The sequence below is a fragment of the Homo sapiens genome, chromosome 1 (assembly GCF_000001405.40).
Source record: "Homo sapiens chromosome 1, GRCh38.p14 Primary Assembly".
Classification (NCBI taxonomy): Eukaryota; Metazoa; Chordata; class Mammalia; order Primates; family Hominidae; genus Homo; species Homo sapiens.
Window position 1 is genome coordinate 80,833,938 of NC_000001.11, and position 25,832 is coordinate 80,859,769.

The window sequence follows — 25,832 nt, forward strand, 5'->3', positions numbered from 1 at the left end:
CCCAGAGCTGCTGTGGTTAACACTCTCTGCAGATGAAGCACGACATTTTATTCCACACAGGACTATCCAAAACATGCAACTGTACTACCATACCTCTCCCCATCACCACTTTCCTCACCCTAGAGCCCAGCTCCTACGCCAACAGCAGGTATCTCCAGGAAATCACAATTCTCTTTTCTTCTGAGCTCGATTTCATCTCAGAACCCTTCTTACCACAACATTTCAGGCGGTTATAAGGGTGAACTATGTTTGCCATTTCTGTCCTACTTAAAGACTTATTTTTAACTGTTTTTCTTCTCCTCTTCTTCAAGCAAAATCAGATATATTCCTTCTGTCTTTGCTCCCCCTTTTCACCTCTAATATGTTCTTTTTCTATATTGTGTCCATACAAATCCTTATCCTCTTTCAAAGCCAATGTCATGTCTCACTTCCTCCAGGAAGCCTCTCAGACAATGGCCACTGGGACCTCCAACTTCTCTGAGGGTTTCCCTCATATTTCTCACATATAATACAGAGTTGCCATCATCACGAACTTAGATAATTCTTTAACTTATAAATATATGTACCACTATTACATGGAATACGCTCTAAATAACAAAGAGCTAGTAACAATAAATGGTGACACCCTTACGTTTCTAATGATTCTTAAGTACATGTTAAAGACATTATTGAAGCTGATTATTGTTTCCAGCTAACACTAAATGCTTTTGAATTTTTTTCTAAGGAAGAATATACAGGAACAAGAATTTAAAAACCATCAGAAATACAAAAGTACAGATGACATTTCAAAACTTTTAGACAGAGAAAAATACATGCTATATATTCCAATCAGATTTAATATTCAAATCTAATTAGAAAATGTTACTGTATACATTTTATAACAAAATGACTTCAGCTGCATGCCAGTGAGAAACACCCTCTTAATGCTCCTGGCCTGGACCATGAGGGCTAAAAATTTGCTTCCACTGGTGGAGATCTGTTCAGTCTAAACAAATTCTACCTACGAAATTCACTATCACGTATATTGCAAAGCCAAAGTAGTGCCATCTAGTCCTATGGAGAACAGAAATAAACTTTATTTCAAGACGACTGTCAAAATTTAGGAGTGATGGGGACTTCAATGGTAAGAATTTGCATAATTCACATATTTTGACATCTCAATGAATTTAAGTGCTATTTAATAAACTGCTGGTAATTCACTATTTTAAAATTAAGAATTGACACTGTAATGTATTACATTTTATATTATGTCTCACAATAATATAGAGGATCATGTATCAGAGAAAGATGTTCTTTTCATAAATAACTTTATGTCAAAGCACAATTTTCAAAAAGTTTAAAATGTGACTCTCATACAAATAGAGAATTAACACATGCCAAAGACATACTTGACTCATTATTAAGGAAACAGCAAAATGGTAAAGCCAATTCTAAGAGTATTTGGGAAACAGAAATGTACATAGTTAATGAGGAAAGTCATACTAAAGTAAGTTTGCTAAGTTAAAGAAAAAACTGTTTAATGTCCTACAGGGCAATACAACAGTAAAAATTAATATCAATTCCTATACAAGACAGAAATGATTTGAATTTCTACTGAACAAAATCCACAAGTTAGCATAACATTTCACAAAATCTAGCTCTTAATCAATAGAACATCAAACCGAGGCACAGGTGCATGTCCCCTCAGGAATAAATAATCCTTAGAAAGGCCTGTAGGAAAATGCTCTAATATGATATAGGAAGATAGACAGTCATGCTTATACCTTATTTCCAAGTTTTATATAATCTTTTAATGAAGAAACATTACTTTTGATGACCTCATTTCTTCTCTTTTAGCTTACTTACATCATCAGCATTTTCAATTTGTTTTCACTTTGGGGCAACCCCAATCACTCGCCCATGCTCTCTCCCTGTCTCCCCACGCACACACCCCGAAAGCTCTTTTCTTTGTTTTGTTATTTTTTAAATCATCTTATGAGAACTGTTCCATATGTGGAAGAGTAATCTACAAAGAAACTATGCGGACATGAGAATGCTTGACTGATGTTGGCTCCTGCCACCACTTCTGAAATGTCTCAGCAAAATTATGATTTACTACATATTTTGGATCTTCATTACTTCTAAGTAGTACAAAGAAAGTCTTATAAATTACAGGGTAAACCATAGTGCTTTGTAAGGCATTTTTTTCTCATCTTGAAAATAATTTATAATTTAATAAAGATGTTCTTTACTAAATATGTTATGCTTGAATTTGCAGGCAACATGTCTTTCAGGATAGGAACCTAAAATGGAAGAGGCTGTTGCACGCTTTTAGAGTTAATATATCTATATAAATGAATAAGTCAAACTACCCAATTTTCTATTGATTTGGCACTTCTAATCCCCATATCCCTCACTGAGAATGAGACAATTTTGCTATGAGAAATATATCATTGGCTTCTGGCTTTAATTTTTCCACATTTGCTTCAGGGAGGCAGCTAATTCAAATAAAAAGTAGCATCAAGTAAGGTAACGCAGGTTGGACTTTCTATAAGGCTGCCTTCCGGGGATTTGGGTACTGGGGACAGAATGCCGAAATCCAGCCCCAAATCTCCTCTTTAAGCACAAGACCACTGGAGCTTCATATGTCAGCAGGAGGTACCCTGTAAGAAATTTACAAAAAGGCAACTTTTGGCTGAAGGCTAAATTATGGTTGCAATTAATCTGTGATCCATCTTATAAAAAAAAAGCAAAAGCTGCCTCAATCTGTCTGTGAACCTGAAAGCAAAATCTGCCTTGAGAGGTTTCATATGTACAGAAAGATGCATGCACACATAAGTATAACTCACAGCTACCTATAGAAAGGCTAACTAGAGAAGGGACAGGGTATTGTCAGGGGACTCAGAAATAAATGCACAACACTCAAGAATAATAAAGTAATAGCTAACATTTATTAACGCATACTGTGTCCCAGGGATGGAAATACATTTTTATATGAATCATCTCAATATTTTGTTGAATAGATAATATATATTCCATAACTGCCTTTGACTTTCCATGACTGAATAAATTGATCAGAAATTCAAATAGTATACCATGCAATAATCCGGAAGCAAATAGCAGAACCCAGACTTTAAATCTTCATTTCTCATGACATATTGGAAAAGTTTTTATTTTTAATTTCAACTAAAGAATCTCTGCATGGAATTTGTTAAGAATATATCCCAGCCGCTGCTTTTTCTATTCAGTGTGACCCCAAACAAGGAATGTTTCACATGGTTTTAGGTTTCTGAGTGGAAGTTTAGCACAGCTGTGATATCAAATGAAGTACCACCTGGCCTAATCACCGTAACAATATGTCCTCTGTCCTGCACAGCTAGCAGATGGATTGGGTATCAGCCTGATGTCATAATCTGTTAAGTTTGTAATATGGAGCATTACCCACCCATTTAGGATTCATCTCATCTTCTCTGATGGCATGCTGTACCCTAAATAGAGAGATGACACTATCATTATATGCCACTATCACTAGTCATATGGAATCTTAGTTTGCATTACTTAAGAATAATTATATGGTGCTCTAATTCATTTGGTGAACTGTCACTCCACTACTGAAAAACTTAGGTGGAATTTTAACAAATACTATGACATTCATAAAGCAGATTACTAGTCTTCAACATTTATTTCATTCTTCTCTTAATTCAAGTTCTAAATATCGACTTTCTTATATATGTGCTGCTGATCTTTTTGGGGCATTAAATGAAATCTCAAAAACTATAGAGTTGATGTGACTTTATACTTGCATCTCGGCTGTCATGTAAAATATGGTAATAAAAAATTATCAGTAACATATATGTCTGTAACATATATGACAAACATTTAAAAGGACAATATGATTGGTGATAACTCACCAAATTTTTACTGTCTCTCAAATGCAAGGCACAATGATAATGTGAATGCAGAAATAAACATGAAATTAAATTTTTCCACCCTTCAAAACGCTTTTAGTCTCTTCTAATTCACCTCCTCTCTCTACTACCCCCAGAAATACTCATTTGAGTTCATGCAAACATCAATTCCTTAAGTCTTGTAGATGCATCAGTTGACAAGGCCATCGCCCATCCCCCACTCCCTTCTCTTCTATTGTTACTTATTTTTCTGTATACAGGCTAGGAATACTACTACTCATCTTGTCAGTCTTCCTTGCAGCTAGGGCCAACCAGTGAGATGTAACAGAAATCTGGTAGCGGTTATGGCTTAAGTATGCTGGGAAGCTACGGGAAAGGCACACCTCCCTGATAACAATAGAGGAAATCTATTATCACTCCCACCTCCTTTCTTCCATCCTTGAATATAAACACGATGCTGAGAGTTGCAGCACCATGAAGCATTAAGATAATTGCTAAGATCAGCAAAGTGCAGGATAGAAAGCAACCAAGAAAATTATATTGCTGAATTTCTCCACAGCTCTGGTGTGCCTTCATGTAACTTCTTGCTCAATAAAAAGTTTAATCCATTGTTAGATAATTTGTTATCCACTACAAAACAGTGGATATGGCAATTAGTAACGTTAAGCCTACTTTATAAATGCGTTGATAATTTTCTTATTAATATCCTATTTCTTTTTAGAATTGTATTTATTTTCCAAACATAGAAAGGAAGTATAATGCATTAATACTGCAGTTTAATTTTAAGATGGTTTTCATCATAGAAACGTGATGCAATAGCTTTACTAAAACTATAAATTGTTACTATGTAATAAAATATTAATACATTTCTTTTAGCTATATAGCGAGGGATTCATGAAAAGTATAGTACCATTTATTTTTTAATGAAAATTAGATCTTTTTCAAATTATGAATATATCAAGAAATATTCAATCTTTATTCATCATTACTATTTATCTTCATTCATCTTTATCATATTACTTTTTTTCCCACAAAATAGCAATTATTTGTACTTTTTAGGATTATACTTTCATTCAACAGGTGTGCCTTCTATACACCTAGCTCTGTTTGGGGAACAGAGAATACAGAAAAGATTGAGGCATGACTTCTTCCCTCAGGAAGATCACAATTGAGTGAGGAAAATCAATAAATAAACGTTTACATTTACCAGCACACTGCCACCACACAGAGAAAAGGGTAGTGGGTATTCTTGTGCTCCACCAAGATACCCTCGAGTTCAACACACCCAACTCCCAGCTGCTCCCAACTTCAGCGTAATAGCTAAAGGCATGCATACAGCTGCCTCCATCACATGGAATTGCCTTGGAGGTATGGAACTGTTTCACCAAAAGTCTATGTAGGGATCCAAAGTCTGGCCTGCTGGCCTCCATTAGAGAAAACTCTGAAATAAAAAAAAAATCCCAGATTTATAAATCGTCATGGGATTAGCTGAGGGCTTAGTTGTAACTCTCTTGAGGGTCAATTTATCTTTCTACTAAATTTTCCTTATTTCCTTTCATGTCTTTCTCATGAGAATACTCCACATAATGCTTCTACATGCAATTAATTCCCAAAGAACAAGATATCTGACCAAGATCTTGAAGATGAATGAATGACAGTGGAGGAAAACAGAAAAAGGCAATCCTTACAAAGGAAAGAACATATTTAAAGGCACCTGGAGAAATGCAAGGTAGCATGGATGGTTTAAGTTAGGAAGCTGGGAAAGGCATACAGGAAACATGCAAAAAAGATTTTGCATATCAGACAAAAATGTTTGAATTTTATTCTGAAGGCAATAGAGAACATATATCAATTAAAAATGGAAGGAACAATCAAATGCCCAAATTCAGTGGCTAAAATAAATACGAGTATATGATTTTAACTGATAAAAAATCTACCAGAAGGATGGCTGCTGGCATTGGTTCTGCAATTTATCATACAAGGTATCATGCCACTGCCACCTCTTGGTTTCCCTATGGCCTTAAGAAGTCTGTGAAGGATCCAGGTACCTTGCTCTGTTCGACAGTGGGACAAACAGGAAGAGGAAAAACAGCAGTACTCTTCTTTTTTATGCCATGTCTCTTCACATTTGTGAAGAAAGCAAATGTTTCTTAACACCCACCCAGTAGAATTCTGTTGTAGATAACTTTTATAGTCCCTATGGTAGAAGCAAGCAAGGGAAATGCAAGTAGGAAGAGAGGTTAGGTAAGTTACCCTATGATGCCCACAAAGGATTCCAAGGACATGTATGACAGGATTATTACGAGGGGAGGAAATTCTGTAAATGGAGTAGTTTGGATATGCTATTGAATAATGCAGATAAGATAAGAGGAATGCCTAGAATAAAGAAAGATTGTAATAGTGTTAGTAGGAATTCAAATAAATCGAATAAACAAGAGATGTGGAATAATATGCCAAGGACTTGGAAATTGGTATGATTCAGTTGCTATGGAATGTCACAAGTTTTAAAAGGTTAGAGAAAATTGACAAGTGCTTCATTGATTTGCATGTACATCCTCATTCTCATTTGTATATCACTGATATAGGACAGGCATGATTATTCCCATTTCAGAGATTCAGAAACCAATGTTCAGAGAGATCAAAAAGGATTTGCTTTAAAAAAAAAATCCCATAGCTAGTAATTTTTAGAACTAGGGCTCAAATCCAAGGTTTCAGATGATTAACTTAATTGTGCTTGTTCTCTGAATGTATAATTTAGTAGAGCTCTAATGAATAATTTTTTATTATCCAAATCATCAAGCACTAGAATTAGTCAGCAAAGGTATATGTGCTTCTATAAAGCCTTATGGCTTTGTGTGAATACAAAATTGATCCTCATAGCAACTATGAGCAGAAATAAAGAGAATGAGGGGGAAGAAAAATGATGGTATAGAGCAGAATGTATAGGATGAGTAAAAGCTCATATTCAGGTTCAAAGATTTTAACATTTCAATAATTGTTATACTTTATTTGATTGCATGCCCTGTATTCAAATATTTATGTTTTATTTATATGGTAACAAGTATTATATTTTATTTATATGGTAACAAGTATTAACGTCATAATGTATATCAGGCATGTAGATCTTGGGTTTAGAAAAATGAATATGATACAATACTTTGATCAAAATTAGAATTAGAATTAGAAAAATATACCCATCATAAAAACAACCCTCCAAAGTTGTTATAAAAGTGCTCACCAATGCAATTTCATAAGAAAATAAAGAAATGAAAAATATTAGAGCAGAGGTGGCAATATACTTATTATTTAGTTTAGCAGATAATATATAACTATTCTTCTAAGAAAGCACATAGGAATAAATTTCAAAAGTGTTCTGTTAGTAAGATTAGTCAATAAATTATCTAGTTAAAAAAGCAAATATGCAAAATCAATAGCTATCCCCTTGATATGGTTTGGCTGTGTCCGCACCCAAATCTCATCCTGAATTCCCAGGTGTTGTGAGAGGAGCTTGGTGGGAGGTGATTGAATTATGGGGACAGGTCTTTCCCATGCTGTTCTCATGATAGTGAATAAGTCACACTAGATCTGATGGCTTTAAAATGGGAGTTTCCCTGCACAAGCTCTCTCTTTGCCTGCTGCCATCCATGTAAGATGTGACTTGCTCCTCCTTGCCTTCTGTCACGATTGTGAACCTCCCGAGCTATGTGGAACTGTAAGTCTAATTAAACCTCCTTCCTTTGCAAATCACCCAGTCTTGGGTAAGTCTTTATCAGCAGTGTGAAAACTAACTAATACACCCCTATAGAGAAAATTATTACTAGCTAGAACTTACAATAGAAAAATAGATCACTTTCTATAGAAACAGCAATTATCTTACACCTAGAATTAACTCTAGTCAGAAATGTAAAAACTACATGATGAAATCTTTAAAACTTTACTGGAGACATGAAGTCTTGAACTAATGAGAATACCAATGTGTACTATGTTTTAAGGAATTACTCCATATTTTAACTCTAAGAGATAAAAATGAAGAATAGAGGATGAGGACGCTCACATTTGCTAAGGCAAATCAGGAAGGGAAGACTTCTTAAAAGAAATAAGGCTCGAATTGAGAATTGAAAAATATGAGTTTCCCAAGTATAGGAGGTAGAAGGAATATCAGAGAGAAGAACCAGCTTATATAAAGCAAAGTTATCTCAAAAAGCACTATGTGTTCGAGGAATAACAATTAATTGGCCATGGATGAAACAGAGTAACTGGAAGAGAAATGTGGGAAGAATCTTGTATTTATACTTGTTGGGGAGAAAAGAGTATGCAAATCATAAATGCCATGAAAATACAATATTGTTCAGTTTTCCACATATTTTGGTTAATTTTTAGGTATTAGCTAACTATTAAAGAATTAGCATATAAACATGTTCTAGAATGTTGATGTATGTAATAATTAAAATTATACATATTTCTACCATTCTCCAGTGGGGATTTATAAAATATTTTACATGATAATATTTGGCATTATGTCTCAATAACAAAATGTTGAATTCATTGCTAAAGTCAAAGCTTTCCAGAATTACATCTGAGAAATAAGACACTGTTAACTTGTTAAAATAGTATTAAGCATTAAGCCTCTCATAAAGTTAATTTAAAAATGTTTGCTTTGTGTATGAAGGAAAATTCATTTTAAAAGTTCTACCTCCTTTATAGTTAGTAACATAATAAGAGACAGTGTTAGGTAAATAGCAAATTCCTTTAGAATATAAATAATTCTTGAGTTATTGAGACTTAATATTTTTATAACATGAATTCTGTAGAAATTGCTTTGTAGAGAACAGAAACTTAGTATAATAAACTAAACTTGAAATGCCTGAAAATAGGTCAAAGCAAACTTCAGTAGTATTAATATGTCTGACAACATATTAATGAGAAGGATTCATATAAATCTTTCCTATGTGTCCTTAAATTTGTTGCCAAAAATATTAAAATATTTTTAGTTTTTATTAAATATTTGTATTTACCCTTATTAAGTCAGAAAAAGCAAATGTCACATAGAAAAGGTAAACAGATGAAGATGTATAATCAAATATGCATACAGATTTGTATAAAGATTTAATATGTTTCTTTTTAAAGCCAAAATTTCTATAATTTCACTAGAACCCTTTGTTGGCTTTCATCCCAGTTGCTACACAGCATACATCACATCATTATTCTCTGCCTTTTTTCTCATTAACTTTCTATGTTTTTGGTTTGCATATACATGGAATTCATGTATATCCAGCACTTTATGCTATGCCATGAGTTGTTTCTTTTCTTTGACTCTATGTGCCTCAGAGAACAGGGTAGATCTACTGTTCCACTTCCCATAATATCCAATCTAAGGAAATGCAAAATGCTGGAAGTTCTAACCTACCCCTTTAGGAGAGGAGATTTTCATTGAGTTTTCTGGTAATTCCATCCTAAACACAGAATACCATTTTCTTTCTTCATTTAGAAGCAGCCTAATCCCCATTGGAGAATGGTAGAAATATGTATAATTTTAATTATTAAAATATACTTCAACATTCTAGAACATGTTATATGCTAATTCTTTAAGAGTGAGCTAATACCTAAAAATTAACCAAAATATGTGGAAAATTGAATGATGTTGTATTTTCATGGCATGGCTTGCATATTCTTTTCTCCCCAACAAAGATAAATACCAGATTCTTAGTTCCCACATTTCTCTTCCAGCTACTCTATGTTCCACCCATGGCTAATTGTTATTCTTTGAACACATAGTGCTCTTTGAGATAACTTTGCCTTATATAAGCTATCTTTTCTTTCTGATATTCCTTCTGCCTTCTATACTTGGGAAACTCATATTTTTCAATTCTCAATTCAAGGCTCATTTCTTTTAAGAAGTCTTCTCTTCCTGATTTGCATTAGCAAATGTGAGCTGCTTATCTTCTTTTCTTCATTTCTATCTCTTAGAGTTAAAATATGGAGTAATTTCTTAAAACATAGTACACATTGGTATCTCATTAGTTCAAGACTTCCTTTATGGCTCCAGTAAAGTTTTAAAGATTTCATCATAGAGTTTTTACATTTCTGACTAGAGTTAATTCTAGGTGTAAGATAATTGCTGTTTCTATAGAAAGTGATCTATTTTTCTATTGTAAGTTCTAGCTAGTAATAATTGTCTCAATAAGGGATAGCTATTGATTTTGCATATTTGCTTTTTTAACTAGATAACTTATTGACTAATCTTACTAACTTAACATTTTTGAAGTTTATTCATATCTGCTTTCTTTGAATAATTATATACTATCTGCTAAAAATAAAAATAATAAATGTATTGCCACCTCTGTTCTAATATTTTTCATTTATTTTCTTATCAAATTGCATTGGTGAGCACTTTTATAACAACTTTAGAGGGTTGCTTTTATAATGGGTATATTTTTCTAATTCTAATCTTGTGGTAGTGTTTCTAAGGTTTTACCAGTGGAAAATGGTTATTGATTCAGAATATATATTATATACTGAATATTACTGCATACTCTTTCTCATATTAAAATAATGTGCTTTTTTCTCTTTCAATCTATTAGTAAACGACACTTCATGATGCTTTTTAAGCTGATGGTGATGTTAAAAAATTGTTTTATCTTCTTTAGAATAAGTAATGGAAATAACATTTTGAAAAAATTTAATTTTTATATATATTTCCTGAAAAACTTTTTCCTCAACTGTTTATTTTAAGTTCTGGGGTACATGTGCAGGATGTGCAGGTTTGTTACATAGGTAAACTTGTGCCATGGTGGTTTGCTGCACCTTTCAACCCATTATCTAGGTATTAAGCTCAGCATGCATTAGCTATCTTTCCTGATGCTCTCCACCTCCCCACCCTCCCCCAGCAGGTCCCACTGTGTATTGTTCCCCTCCCTGTGTCCATGTGTTCTCATTGTTCAGCTCCAACTTATAAGTGAGAACATGCAGTGTTTTGTTTTCTGTTCCTGTGTTTGCTGAGGATGTTTACTGAGTTTGCTGAGAATAATGGCTCCCAGCTTCATCCATGTCCCTGCAAAAGGACATGATCTCATTCCCTTTTATGGCTGCGTAATATTCCATGGTGTATGTGTACCACATTTTCTTTATCCAGTCTATCATTGATGGGCATTTGGGTTAATTCCATGTCTTCACTACTATGAATAGTGCTGCAATGAACATATGCATACATGTATCTTTATAATAGAATGATTTATATTCCTTTGTGTATATATCCAGTAATGGGATTCCTGGGTCAAATGGTATTTCTGGTTCTAAATCTTTGAGGAATCGCCACGCTGTCTCCCAAAATGGCTGAACTAATTTACATTTTCACCAACAGTGTAAAAGCATTTCTCCTCAACCTTGCCAGCATCTGTTTTCTCTTAATTTTTTAATAATCGCTATTCTGACTGGCATGAGATAGTATTTCATTGTGTGTCAGAGCAAACAGACAACCTGTAGAATGGGAGAGAATGTTAGCAATCTATCCATCTGAAAAAGATCTAATACAAGGAACTTACGCAAATTTACAAGAAAAACACAATCAACCCCATTAAAAAGTAGATAAAGGACATGAAGAGACACTTATCAAAAGGAGACATACATGCAAGCCAACAAACATGAAAAAAAGCTCAGCATCACTGCTCATTAGAGAAATGCAAATCAAAACAACAATGAGATATCAACTGTTGTTAAGACTATTGAGGCTTACTGCCAAAGAAAAAAAGAAGTTTCAAAGGTCACAAACTGAAAAGTTTGCACCACCCAAATTAAAAGAAAAGGAATGAGGTAATCTCACCAATAACAAGAAGAGTATCTGAGGTCACGCACAAGACAGAGTAAGGAAATTAACAGGGCATAGACCAGGTAGGTCTCCCCTTCCCTCTTGAAAGGCAGAAAAGTGAGATGATTGTTCATACTTGGACATGTTTATAGAAAATCCTTAGTGTTCCTCACCTCTTAAAGTATAGAAAAACTTTCCAATCAACATAGTGCCCTTAAGAGATAATTGTTAAATGAGGGAGTTAGCCATAGGTGAGTAGAAAAATGACGGTCTTATGGAGTCTTTCACTCTCCATTATGCTTCTAATAACTCAGCTAAAAATCAAACTAAGATAATGTAAGGTTGCTGAGCAAATTTGCAGATTGGTCAACTTTGGGTTGGACCAAGATTTTAGGCACCTTGTGACCGAAATCTTTGACAGGAACAAGAGCCACTAGAAACTTTACAAAACCACTCAGCATCAGCACCTCTCTTCACACAGATACACACATAACATTATTAAAGGGAAGAGATTTTAAATACCTTTTCAAATGTTTTAACTCCATTTCTCACCTACTCTACATCTTCTAAATTTTCTTTAGACAACTTCGATTTTATGTCTGTTATTATTCTCAGTTCTTTATTTTACCAGGATATGCTTAAGTGTAGGTCTCTTTTTGCTGATTGTTAATGGTTCTCCTAAAGGATGCACACCTAAAGAAAGTTGTCTTTGTTATTATTTTATTATGTGTTATTATATTGATAATGTTTCTCTTCTATATGCACTATTGTATCATCATTAGCGAACTCATTATATATTCTTGGGATATATGAATTGGTCTTCCATGTCTTTGATTTTTGTTTGTTGTCATCTCCATTTTTTATTATAATTTTCCTTCAGTTCTGGGAGAATTATTGAGCTCAGCTAATTCATTGATTCACTTGTCCTAAGTATTCAGTTCTAGTTGATTGTTTTCACTAAGTTCTTTATTTTTAATTTAAAAATACATTTTTATTTAAAATATTTTTTAATCTGAAAAGCCTATTTTGGTATTGAAAAATAAATGTTCAATTTATTTTTATAAATAAAATGCCTTCTAAAATCTTGCTGAGAAAACATGTGAGAAGTTTTCTGTTTTTGGAAATCTGCTTCATAAAATTAGGAGAGAAGTAGAAAACGACAGCATGTGAGTTTTCCAGAAGGCCTGCCTCCTTTTATTCCAAGTTACTCTTTCTCTTGGTGTTACTTTAAAATTTTTCATTGGTTGGTGGTGAAATCTTAATACATTACTCTACAGGTAAACCCCATTGTTTGCATAAGGTGAATAAAATACCATAGATCATTTCTTCAGTCCGATCCCACCTCCTTATTTCTTACAGAAATGTTTGAAAATATCTTGTCAATTGATTATGGCCTTCTCTGTTTTTCAACAGTGTTTAAAAATGTATGGGTATTTTCAGTTGTTTCAGTATATTCAGGGAGGAATGAGCTTGAAATACATAAGCTGAAAGCTTAATCTTAAATCTTAAAACAACAGGCTGAGACACGTTTTGTAAATACCTTGTTAGAAATGGTTAAACAGAGCTCAGGAATGTTAAACAACATGTCCAAAAACACTCAACTAATGGCTCCATTTTCTTAAAACCTTTTTACATGTTCCATGTCTTGGTCCATTTGTGCTGCTATAACAAAATGCCACAGACCAGGTAATTTATTAGAAACAGAAATTTTTTTGGTCACAGTTCTGAGGCTGGGTAGTCCAAGACAAAGGCACTGGCAGATCCTTTGGTGAAGGTCTAGTCTTTTTTCTAAGACAGTATCTTAAATATTGCATCCTCCTTCAGACAGGGGGAATGCTGTGTACTCACATGGCAGAAGGCAGAAGGGCAAAAGGTATAAATTCCCTCTGTCAAGCTCTTTGATAAGGGGACCCCATTTTTGAGGAGAGAAGCCCTCATGACCTAATCACCTCTTAAAAGCCCCACCTTTTAATACCATTGCTTTGGCCATGAAGTTCCAACACCTGAGTTTGAGAGAGGACACATTTAAAACTATAGCATTCTGCCTCATAAAATTCCTGTCTTTCTCATGTGCAGAGATATACTTGTTCTGTCCCAATAGCCCCCAAAGTCTTAACTTGCTCCAGCATGCACTCAAGATGTTCTACCCGGACATCTAAATTAGATATGGGTGACACCCAAGGTACAGTTCATTCTGAGGTAAGTTGCTCTCCAATTATGAACCAGTGAAATCAATGTCATGCACTTCCAAAATACAAAAATGGGACCAGCACAGGAGAGACAGGACCATTTAGAAAGACAGCAATAGGAAAGAAGAAGTAACAGGTCCTAAGTAAGTCTAAAAATGAAACAGGAGAAATAACATTAAATCTTGGGCTTGAGAATAATCACTGACTCCATGTCCCACCTTCCAGACACAGCGGAGCATAGGTTGGGTCCCCAGTGGCCTAGGCAGCCTTGTCCCCATGGCTCTGCTGGGTGCAACACACATAGCAGCTCTCATAGGTTAGTGTTGAGTGCTTGCAGCTCTCCAAGCCTGGTGTCACATGCTGGTGGCCCTACAATTCTGGAATCTTGGGGGCTTCTCTGCCCCCTTCCCTGTTAGACATTGTCCTTGTGGCTCTCTGCAGCAGCTCTGCTCCTGCAGCAAGTCACTGCCTGCCCTAAGGCTGTCTGAGATACCCTCTGAAATCTAGGTAAAGGTAGCCATGCCCCCATAGCTCATTCACTCTGCAAGCCTGCAGAATTAGCACCATATGGACAAACCAGCAAGGCTCACTGCTTGTGTCCTTCAGAGCTGTGGCCCAAGCCATACCTGAGCCCACTTGAGCCTCAGCTGGTGTGGCTGGGGAGTGCTGTACCAGAATTTGGGGAGAAGAGACTTGAGACAGCCCCAGGCAATGAGCCCCCAGGTCCCATGGGTGTCCTTGGAACCTCCCTGGAAACCATTCTGCCTTCCAGGCCCTGGCACTCTGGGCCTGTAATTGGTGTGGCAGCTTCTAAGATCCGTGAAATGTCTGTGGGTCATTCTCCCATTGTCTTGATGAATAACACCTTGGTCCTTCTATCTCTACTAATCTTATCAAAGGGTCTCTTGAGCACACCCACACCCTTGGTTCTCACTCCTAAACATGCTTTTTAAATTCTTTACATGGCTAGACTGAAAATTTCCCAAATTTTTGTGTGCTGCTTCCCTTTTAGTGATAAATTCCAACTTTAAATTGTTCTTGCATTTTACTATAAGCAGTTAAGAGAAGCCATACAGCACCTTCAATATTTTGCTGCTTAGAGATTTCTTTCACCAAATATCCGAGTCCATTGCCCTTAAGTTCTGCCTTCCACAAAGTCCTAAGACACAGATATAGTCCAGCTAAAGTCTTCGCCAATTTATAACAAGAATGAAATTTTATCACCTTTAACAAATGTTTTTATTTACCACGCTCCAGACCAATGCTTCTCAAACTTCAGTGCACATAAGAATCATCTGATATTTGATTAAACACAGATTCCTGGCTCCTAACCTTAGAGATTTAGATTTAGTAAGTCAGGGATGGGACTCAAAGTTCTGTGTTTCTAACAATTCCCCAGGGAGTACTAATGCTATCCAGACACCATACTTTTGAGTAGCATTGATATAGGTCAGTCATTCCACCTCAGTCTTTGAGAAGAAGGAAAATAATCAGAAGACAAAGAGAAAAAAAGGATAATGCACACAGTACAGCAAATTTTATGTGTACATATATACCCAACTCTTAGATAGGTGTGGCTTTTTATTTTAGGAGCCTTGTAATGCATCCTCTGTCATTGACAAGCATCTGATAGAGTTTTAATTTTCTGAGAAGGGAGCAAGGCAAGGTAGGGAGAGCTGGGAGATAAGACAATGGTCTTTAGAGGTAAAATGCTTTTACTCATAAAAAAAATTCGTGTAGTTAGGACAAACCTTTTTGGCAAATATAAAATTAGCTGGAGTTTAGGAGGTTCAGTGACATGAAGTTCATGTATTTATTTTGTAAAAAGACAGTGATCAATTGTGTTCCATAAACAAAAAACAAACAAACAAAAAACAAAAAAGCAGTTTCGAAGGCTCTAAGGGGAGACAGATTTGTAGAAGATGCAAAATAGATTGCAGATCAGGGATGTAGGAGGGTAGAGTGTATAGGAGGTAAGAGGAACCTAAGATGACACATGAATCAAGGGCCATGTTCATGATTTGAAATAGGAAAGAACAATGGATGGGGAGTCAGGAGGTAAAATGTTTGTACTTCTAATTTAATCACTTTATAGATACATTGTTTTGGACTAGTCATTTTAAAATCCTTGAGCTCTTAGTTTCTTCACGTAGAATATAAAGATCTCATTTGACTAGGAAATTTTAGACAGAATTATGTATTGGAGTTGCATGGGGGATTATTTTGAAAGTACTTATGGAAAGGCTGTTTCAGAAAAATTTGACTCAGTAGATCTAGATAAAGATTTATACGTTGGAAAACTCTCAGGTAGTTCTTTTGTACTCTGGTTTGAGAACCACTGTGCTCAGTGATAGTTGAGTATTTTTACAAAAACATTGGATTCATTTAGAGTTATTCAAGGATGGAACAAAAATATTCTTAAATATTAGTTAAAATTATTACACTATACAGTAATTCAGTAATTATGTACTTATGTGAAATGTAATATTTTAAATCCTAACTTCCACACACTGCTGGTTGTAAGTTTAGCCTAGGTTATGCTCACATGACTAGAGGAAAACTCTCAAAATTAAATACTCTATCATTGACTGTTTCATAGATTAAAATATTCTTGTAGAGGACATCCATTGTTTTTGCCTTCCCAGACCATATAAAACCTTAGCATAAAATGGAACCTCACTTTTTTCCATTCTATAACTACCTATATTAGTTTAGGTACTCCAAGAAGTAGACGCCAAAACAGAGTTAAATGTGCAAGGATTTTATCAGGGAAAATCTATGTGTGAAAGGAAATAGGAAGGGAGCCAGGAACGACTGAGCAAGTCATTAGGTTGCTATGTAAGTCTGAACACAGAGTGAAGAAAGGAGGGAGCAAATGTTGGGTAGAAGTGTCATATTTTGCTATATAGTGACCAATTCAACAAAGCTGTATAGACCTTCTTAAGCTATTGTGGGCCAACACAGGAGTTATTTTCCTCCTAGAAATGGGTTTGTCTTGGTATCTCCACCACACTCAGTCGCTTACTGGAAGCAGCCTGTGAGAGGTGAGAGGCGTAGCCTTGGTACAAATTCAGCAATGGGTTTCAAAGCATAGCAGCTGAGATCCTTTATTAATATAAGCTCTATAGAAAGTCTGCAAAATCTATTATCATTACTAAAAAACCACCTTCACTCGTTTGTAGCACATAGCTTTATCTGTTCAATCACATGAGACAGTAACCTTTTACCTGGCCCTAGCTCAGACAAGTTAGCCCCAAGAATTGACTGAAATTACTAGGGAACATATTTGTTTTCTTTAAAATAGTGATAAAAAAAAAAAAAAAACTTTAAGCTCAGGGATGTTTGTGGCTCTTTTTCTCTCTCTGCTACTTCATATAGGTAAACTGGACAGTAAATGAAGCCAAGACAGAAAAAAGTTAGAAGAATGACATTAAAGATAGATTATTGATTATATATAGGTTGAATGTTTGAATGCACCTGAATCATTTCATCCTCTTATACTTTCCAGTTATTTACAGTTAAAATTTATTTCAGTTTTTAAACCAAAAAGTATGTTTTCTGTTAATTGCAATGAATAGTCTTTTATATAATCCAACATATTTATGTAAATGATTTAATTAAATCTTTACAACAAACTTTGGTGATAGATATTGTAATCCTCATTTTACAGATTGGAATAAGGTCCAGAAAGATGAAATGATTTCTCTAAGGTTGTCTAAAGTAGTAAAAAAATTATCTAGGGTTCAAAATCATAGTTTTTAAATTAAAAGACCACTGCCATTCAATCAGTTGTATGTTTGGCTTTTTTAAGTTTTTCCTAGTGAATGTCTAATTATTGTTGTCTTGTTTTAATGTGAATTATGGTCAATAATCTCTGTGTCATAGATACAGTACATATGTTTGCGTTTTATTTAATCCTATGGCTATGAACATGGACATAGGACTAAGGTTTCAGAATTTGAAAACTAATAAAATTACCTAAATACAGTACTCTATATTTTATTATATTATTGCTTTTCTCCTTATAAAATTGTGCAAGGGGTCATATGTAGTATTACTTATACCATTTAATGAGTGCATTTTTGATCTACATTTTGTCATTTGACATATGTTTCTAATTTATAAGCCTCAAGTGCCTATGACTGTTATTGTTTGAAGCCAAAAATGCAAGATTTTTATACTTAAAATTGAGTGTTTCAAATTACTTTGTAAAAGAATTCTAAATGAATGCTAAAGAATAGACAGATTAATGGGTATAAAAGGTTGTTCTATAGCTCAAGTTCAGCTATGAAAACTTAGGGTTTTTTCTACATTTTTTCACATATAATTACATAAAATATTTTGATTTAATGACATATAATATTGATTTTCCTACATTTCAATACCAGAAATAGTTGCCTCTCTTCCAGTATTAAGGATGATGGTAGGACCAGTAAATTCATTTATTCAGGAAACCCTTACTGAAGTTTTAAATCATGAGTTAGTCTTTAAAAAATCATCAAGTCTAATCTCATTAAGAATGGAGGAACTGTGTTCTATGAATTATTGTCACCTGCATAATATTATACAGATTGGCTCTGGCAAAGCTGGGACTAGATTCATTTCTTCTTACTTCCATTTATTTACTCATTCCATTGAGTCTTCTGTACAAAGGATCAATAAAATGGTATTCGCTAATTTTTCCTTGGGAATGCTATTTGGTGTTCAATTATCCAATTTGTGTATTTGCTTTGTACCTCTTGAAATTGTTTGCAGATATAATTGCTCATAAAATTGCAACCGGATTCTAGGTTGAAACTCCCACCCAAATCTACCACCCTATACACACACGCACACATACATGTATTATGTATATATGTATATGATTCCCAGATCACCCAGTTTTAACATTAAGAACACAAGTAAATTCTTAGGTATTGTTAGAGTGTGGCAGCTATGGGTAAAGAAAATTGAAGAGATCCAATTTTTTATGTGAAAGGCAATTCAAATTTAAAGCTTAGGTTGAATAATATAGTTAATTTAAATTATCTCAAAGCTTTATTTAAATCTTTTGTGTCTCTTCCCTTTCCCTAACCTTCTACATTTTTAAGATTTGTATGCTACGCCTCTAAAATGTATCTCGTATCCAGTCCCATCACCACTTCCTTAGACCCAGGCCCCATCATTTCTTGCTCGAGTTACTAAAAACACCTATAAATCAAACTCCTTCTCTGCAACGTTTTCACCTTCCAATCTATGCTGTACTCAGCAAGCAGAGTGATCTTTATAAAAGTCAAACCTGATCAAGTCACTTTGATAAATCTCCAGAGTCTTTAAGAAAAGTTCACACTCCTTAGCATGCCATGAAAGGCCTTCTAAAGTCTTTACTGTCTTATCTTATCACTACCCCTTCCTTCTCTATCATTTACTATGCAGAAATTCCTTTAGTTCTTCAAATATGCTATTTGGCTTCACACTTCTAAACCTTCCTATAGGATCCTTCCACACTCTGAAATACTCCTTCACTATGTTATCACCTAGGGTATACTTCAAGACGTAGCTTAGATATTGCCTCAAATATTTTATTAACCTTACAGTCTAGGTTAGGTATCTATCCTCTGTGCACATATAGCACCCAGCTAGCATTTCCAGATAGCATTTATCACACCATGTAGTAATCTATTTATGTGTCTGCCTTTCCTCACTAAACTGTAAATAATTGGAGGGTGTATCTGTTTCTTTATTCCCAGCCCCTAACATATTCTCGTTGCCATACATGTAATATTCATAAGTGTTGGTTCAATGAGTGTTTTACTGACATCTTTCTAGCTGCAGTCCAGTTTCTTGAGATCAGCTTCCTTTCTCATCCTGCAAGTACTTATCCCAGATGCTGGGAGTTCACAGACATCACAATTTCTTTCATAACAGATTTTGTGAATGTTTTAACCAAAACAAGATATAGCTATGTTCAAATGAAACTACAGCACATTTTGCAGGCTTGGCCACTTATTTGACAGAATGGAGGCATTAAGGGACTGCAGGCAGTGTGCACTTCAACTATGAGACAGCAGTGCTCCTAGCTGGTCACCCTCTTTTTCCAGCCCTGTGTTCTGAATTCAAGTTTTTCAGCGCAAGCTTGCACTCTTTGAATTACCCAGTATAGTACTGTTAAAATAACTTACTACAATATTTTTATGTCTTAGGGTTTTTTACATGTAAAATGGCAATCAAATAATTGCTCTCTGAGGTTATTTTGCAAAATTACTTACAAAATCACTCAATTTAGTTTCCAGCTTCAAGTTGTGTTTAAACAAGTTAGTCAGACCAGTCCTCCAAATTATTTAAAAAATCTGAACAAAGTATTTAAAAATATTATGTGGCACTGGAGACTTACCAAAAACATTTAGAATCTAGAGACAATTCTACTATTGAAAGATAATCAGAAACTGGTAAGATGTGAAAGTTTGCAGTCGTTATCTAAGGTCAACCTCAATCTTCAGTTGACTCCAGGGCAGAATACCGTATCCTTGGAAAATTAAATAGTAAGAGGAGAGAGGCTTCAGTGGCAGACCATTCGGAAAGTGTGGGGAAATCCAGGAAGGAAAGTAGCTGCTGAAGAGCCTCAATACCTGCATATAAAATCAACAGAAATATTTGCCAGATAACAACAATATATATTCAAGTCAAAGACCGCAACAGCATGAAAAATTGAAAACAGTTGAAAACTGCAATACATGAACATAAATGTAGATTGCTACACACCGCAGAGGACAAAGATTACAGAGGCTGAGTCCAGTCAAGCTAACTACAAGTCATTCTTCTTCAGAGAAACATAACAGAATCAAGAGGCTCTACAATGATTTATTCGTGATGTCCAGAATACAGTTAAAACTCATAAGACATGCAAATTTTAAAAAAGAAAAATATTATCCACATACCCTCTGAAAAACAGTCTAAAAAACCTCTCTTTGAAGACCTACATATTGTAATTAGCAAAGATTTTAAAGCATTTGCAATAAAGACGTCCACAAATTCAGAGAGAAATTGTACATAATGAATGATAGGAAATTGCAGCAGAAAAATGGAAACCAAAAAATAAAGAAAAATTAGAAATCCTAGAATTAAAAAGTACAATATCTGAAATGTTTAAAATTACTCTATGGGCGTAACAGATTAGAAATATAAGAAGAGAGTCACTGAATTTGAAAACAAATCAGGAGCAATTATCTAATCTGAAGAATAAAGATTCAAAACGGTTAAAGAAAAATGAACAGAATTTGGGACTTGTGGGACAATATCTAGCTATCTAATATCAGTGTAAATAGAGTCCTTAGAAAGAAAAGAGAAAACTATAACAGAAAAAAGAGGATTTTAAAAATTCCCACATTTTGAAAAGCATCAACATACCCAAAAGCTCAAAAAACCCCAAGCAAGTTAAATAAAAAGAAAATCCTGGCCGGGGGCAGTGGCTCATGCCTGTAATCCCAGCACTTTGGGAGGCCAAGGTTTGGGATCATGAGGTCAGGAGATCAAGACCATCCTGGCTAACACAGTGAAATCCCATCTCTACTAAAAACACAAAAAGTTAGCTGGGTGTGGTGGCGGGTGCCTGTAGTTCCAACTACGCAGAAGGCTGAGGCAAGAGAATGGCCTGAACCCCAGAAGCGGAGCTTGCAGTGAACCGAGATCACGCCACTGCACTCCAGCCTGGGCGACAGAGGGAAGACTCCATATCAAAAAAAAAAAAAAGAAAGAAAATCCCATCTCAATAAATCATAGTCCGACTGCTGAAGTACAAAGATAAACTCATGAGCTTGAAAGCAGCAAAAGTAAAACAACCACATTAAATATAGGGCAACAGTGATACAAATGACAATTACTTGTCAAAAGAAACCATAAGGCCACAAACTTCAGCAGAAGAAAAAAATATTTTCAGACTGATGGGGCATGACAATGGTAATAATGATAAAAAGAACTGGGAGAATAGAACTATATAAAGTTGCAAGTTTCCTCAATTTTATAGGAAGAAGTATAATAGTAACTTTTAAGTCAATTGTGATTTTAAAAAGGCATATTTAATCCCCAGAGAAATATTAAAAATAATACAAATATATAGAGAGCTAAAAGGCAATTAAAAATACAAATTCAATACAAAGAAATAGATTAACCTAAAATACACATAAGAAAGGAGGAGCAGAGAAACAAAAACTCATGACTTAAGGGGGGAATAAAAAGCAAATCTCATACCTTAATACAGTCATATTGGTAATTACATTAAATAGGAAATGTCTATTATGAAACACTCTAATTTTTAAAACTGTTTCAGTCTTGATAAAAAAAAGGTTGTTAAACTGGATAAAAAATGAAAGACCTATTTGTCGTATAAAAAAGCACTTAAAATGTAAAGATACAAATAGGTTAAAAGTAAGAGGAGAAAAAAGATAAACCATGCAAAGAATAAGCATAAAAAATTGAATGTTATTTCAATAATAAAATAGTTTTCAATAAAAGGAATGTTACCAGAAAAAAGGACCGTTCTTAATAATTCTTACTATACCATGAAGAGATAATTATATATATGCATACATAACAGAGCTTCCAGATATATGGAATATTAGTGAAATAACATTCATATTTGAAGTTTTTAACACCTTCCCCCAGGAGTGCATTTAAACAATTAATAAGATTGACAAACTACTAGAAAGCATGATCAAGTAACAGAAAAAACGAATCACTAACATCAGCAATAAAAACAGAAATATTACAAATCCTATAGTATAAGGATCATAAAAAAAAATTTAGAACCACGATAGGTCAATAAATATGGCCTCTGAAACGGAATGGACAAATTACTTGAAAATACAATGTAAAAATGTGGTACAAGATTAAATTAAAAATAATAGCATTATATCTGCAAAAGAAATTAAATTCGTTATTTAAAAAGAATACCTGCTCCTTCTCCCAAAAAATACCAGGACCGGGAGGGCTAACTTGTTGATTCTATCAAACAGTTCAGAAAGAAACTCTTTTAGAAAATAGAGTAAAAGGAAATAATTATAATTTCATAATATGAGGCTAGGATATTACTGATACCACAACCTACCGGGTATCGCAAAAAGAAAATTACAGACCAATATCTCTCATGGACATAGGCATAAAAATTTTTAACAAAGTATTAGTGAATTGAATCCAATAACATATAAAAATTATACTGCATTAGGACCATGTGTAATGTATCTCCAGAATGAAAGACTAATTTAATGTTCAAAACATCAAAGAATGCAATATACCACATTAACAGAATAAAAGATAAAATACAACACAGTAATAATCTCAATAACTGCAGAAAACATACAATTCAAACTGCATTCATGATTTTTAAAACATTTTTCATCAAATTAGATACAAAATGAAGTTCCCTCAATCTGATATAAGAATAACTATAAACAACCTACATCTAACATTGTACTAATAGTGATGACTGAATATTTTCTCCCAAAATATGTAATAAGGCAGAAAACTTTATTTTTTTCTTTTAATTCCAGATGACTGTATGTTGTAGCCAGTGCAATAAAGCATAAAATAATCAAATTTGAAGGAAAAATATTCATTTGCATCTGTTCACAGGCAACATGATTGTTTACATACAAATCTTGAGGAACTAAATATTGCTTCTATAAATAATAAATATGGTTGCAAGCTCTCCAAATATATCATTTTTTGAAGAAATTCTGTGTATTTCTTCAATATACAGAAATCAGCTATTTTTACACACTAGCAGCAAGCAACCAAAAATGAATTTTATAGTAGCATCAAAAATGAAATATTTAGGAATAAATTTTACAGAAGTCATTTAACACTCCTACACTGAAAAGTTAAAAATATTGTTAAGAGATTGATATGCAAAGTTTATGTACTGGAAGACTCAATATCCTTAAAAATTAAATTCTTTCCAAATTGATCAATAGATTTAAAAAATGCAACAACATCAGCCCATCATTTTTTTTAAATAGAAAATGACAAGTTGTTTTTAAAATATTTCTGAAAATGTAAAGGTTCATAGAATAGCCAAAATAATCTCAAAAAAGGAGAGAAAGCTGCAGAACTTTTACTACCTAACTGTGGTAGACAGAATTCTAAAATGGGCCCCAAGAACTCATTCCACAATGTATATACCCTGAGGCTGTGAATATGATGGAAGTGATTAATGTACAGAATATGGTACAGTTTATGTTAAAAAAGGGAGATCATGTGGGTGGTCTTGACCTAAACACATGATTTCTCTAAATCAGAGTCTACAATAAAATATACAGAAAACCAGAGATTTGAAGCATGAGAGAAATTCAACACGGGGGAAATTTTCATTACTGGTTTTGAAAATGGAAGGACCATATGGCAAGGAATGTGGGTGGCCTCTATATGGTAAGAGTGGTTGGTACCCAACTGATAACCAGCAAGACAATGGGGACCTTAGTCTTACAATTACAAGAAACTGAATTCTGCTAACAACCTGAATGAACTTGGAAGAGGACCCTGAACTAAAGATAAAATTTCAGATATCTGACACCTTGATTTCAATCTGTGTGAATGTGAGCAGAGAACCCAGCCATGCAGTGCCTATAGTTCTAACCTATAGAACTGTAACATAATTATTGCTGTTGCTTTAAATTGCTAAATTTGGGATTAATTTGCTATTAAAAGCAATAAAAAGCTAATACACTGACTAAATGACTTTCTAAAAGTTACAGTAATTGAGGCAGTGTGGTGTAGGTCGGACAGTATGCAAACATGAAAACATCAATGGAATAATAGACAATCAAAACTTTTCTGACTTATGAATAGTTTATTGATTTTTAAAATGTGAAACAATTCATTAGGGGAAGAATTTTTTTTCAATAAATGAAGCTACTACAACTGGATATTCATATGAATAAAAAATGAACATCTACACCTATCTCTGATAACACACATAAACTATTGAGATGTATTATAACCTAAATATAAAATATAAAACCAAAAAGCTTTTATAAAAAAACATTGGCTAATTTATTCGCAACCTGAGGGTAGACAAATATTTCATAAAATACAAAAACCAATGATCATAAAGAAAAAGAAGTTGAGGGGAACATCACACACCGGGGCCTGTCGTGGGTTGGGGGGAGGGGGGAGGGATAGTATTAGGAGATATACCTAATGTAAATGACATGACGAGTTAATGGGTACAGCACAGCAACATGGCACATGTATACATATGTAACAAACCTGCACGTTGTGAACACGTACCCTAGAACTTAAAGTATAATAATAAAAAAAAGAAGTTGATAAATTAGATTGCATCAAAATTAAATTATTTTGTGAATCCGAAAACTCATTATGGAAATAAGTGACAAAGAATTTATTGACGATATATATATCTGACAGGACTTAGGTTGAGACTATATAAATATTATAATCCATTAAGAAAATGACCAACAATACTTTTTTTTTTTTTTTTTAAGTCAAAGGAGAGAAGGATTGTGGAAAGATGGCAGAGCAGGAAGCACCAGGAATCTACCTGTTTACATAGGCAACAATTGCGCTGGAAGAATCTGTTTGATGTGACTTCTTTTGAAACTCTGAGGTCTATTAAAGGCTTGCAACTTACAAAGGAAGGCTGGGATATGAAATTGTGGTATATTTTGGCCAATTTCAACTTTTATCATAGTAGCAGCTACCCATTCCACTTCTCTCAGCCCATGGCAGGCAGCTGTGCACATGTTCCAAGAGCAGCTTAGACACAGCTTGTGGGAGGCAGGGTGGAAGAAAAAAAAAAAAAAATCACTGTCTTCCAGGTTTCAGAGAACTGTGCTCTGATCACTGATTGGTGCTTCTGATCACAGAGGTCCAGACAAAAAGTTGGGACACCATTTTTGTTGCACCTTCCTCATTGTTGCAAGCCCTTCCCCCTTTCAGCTGAAGTGACTTCCAGGGGAA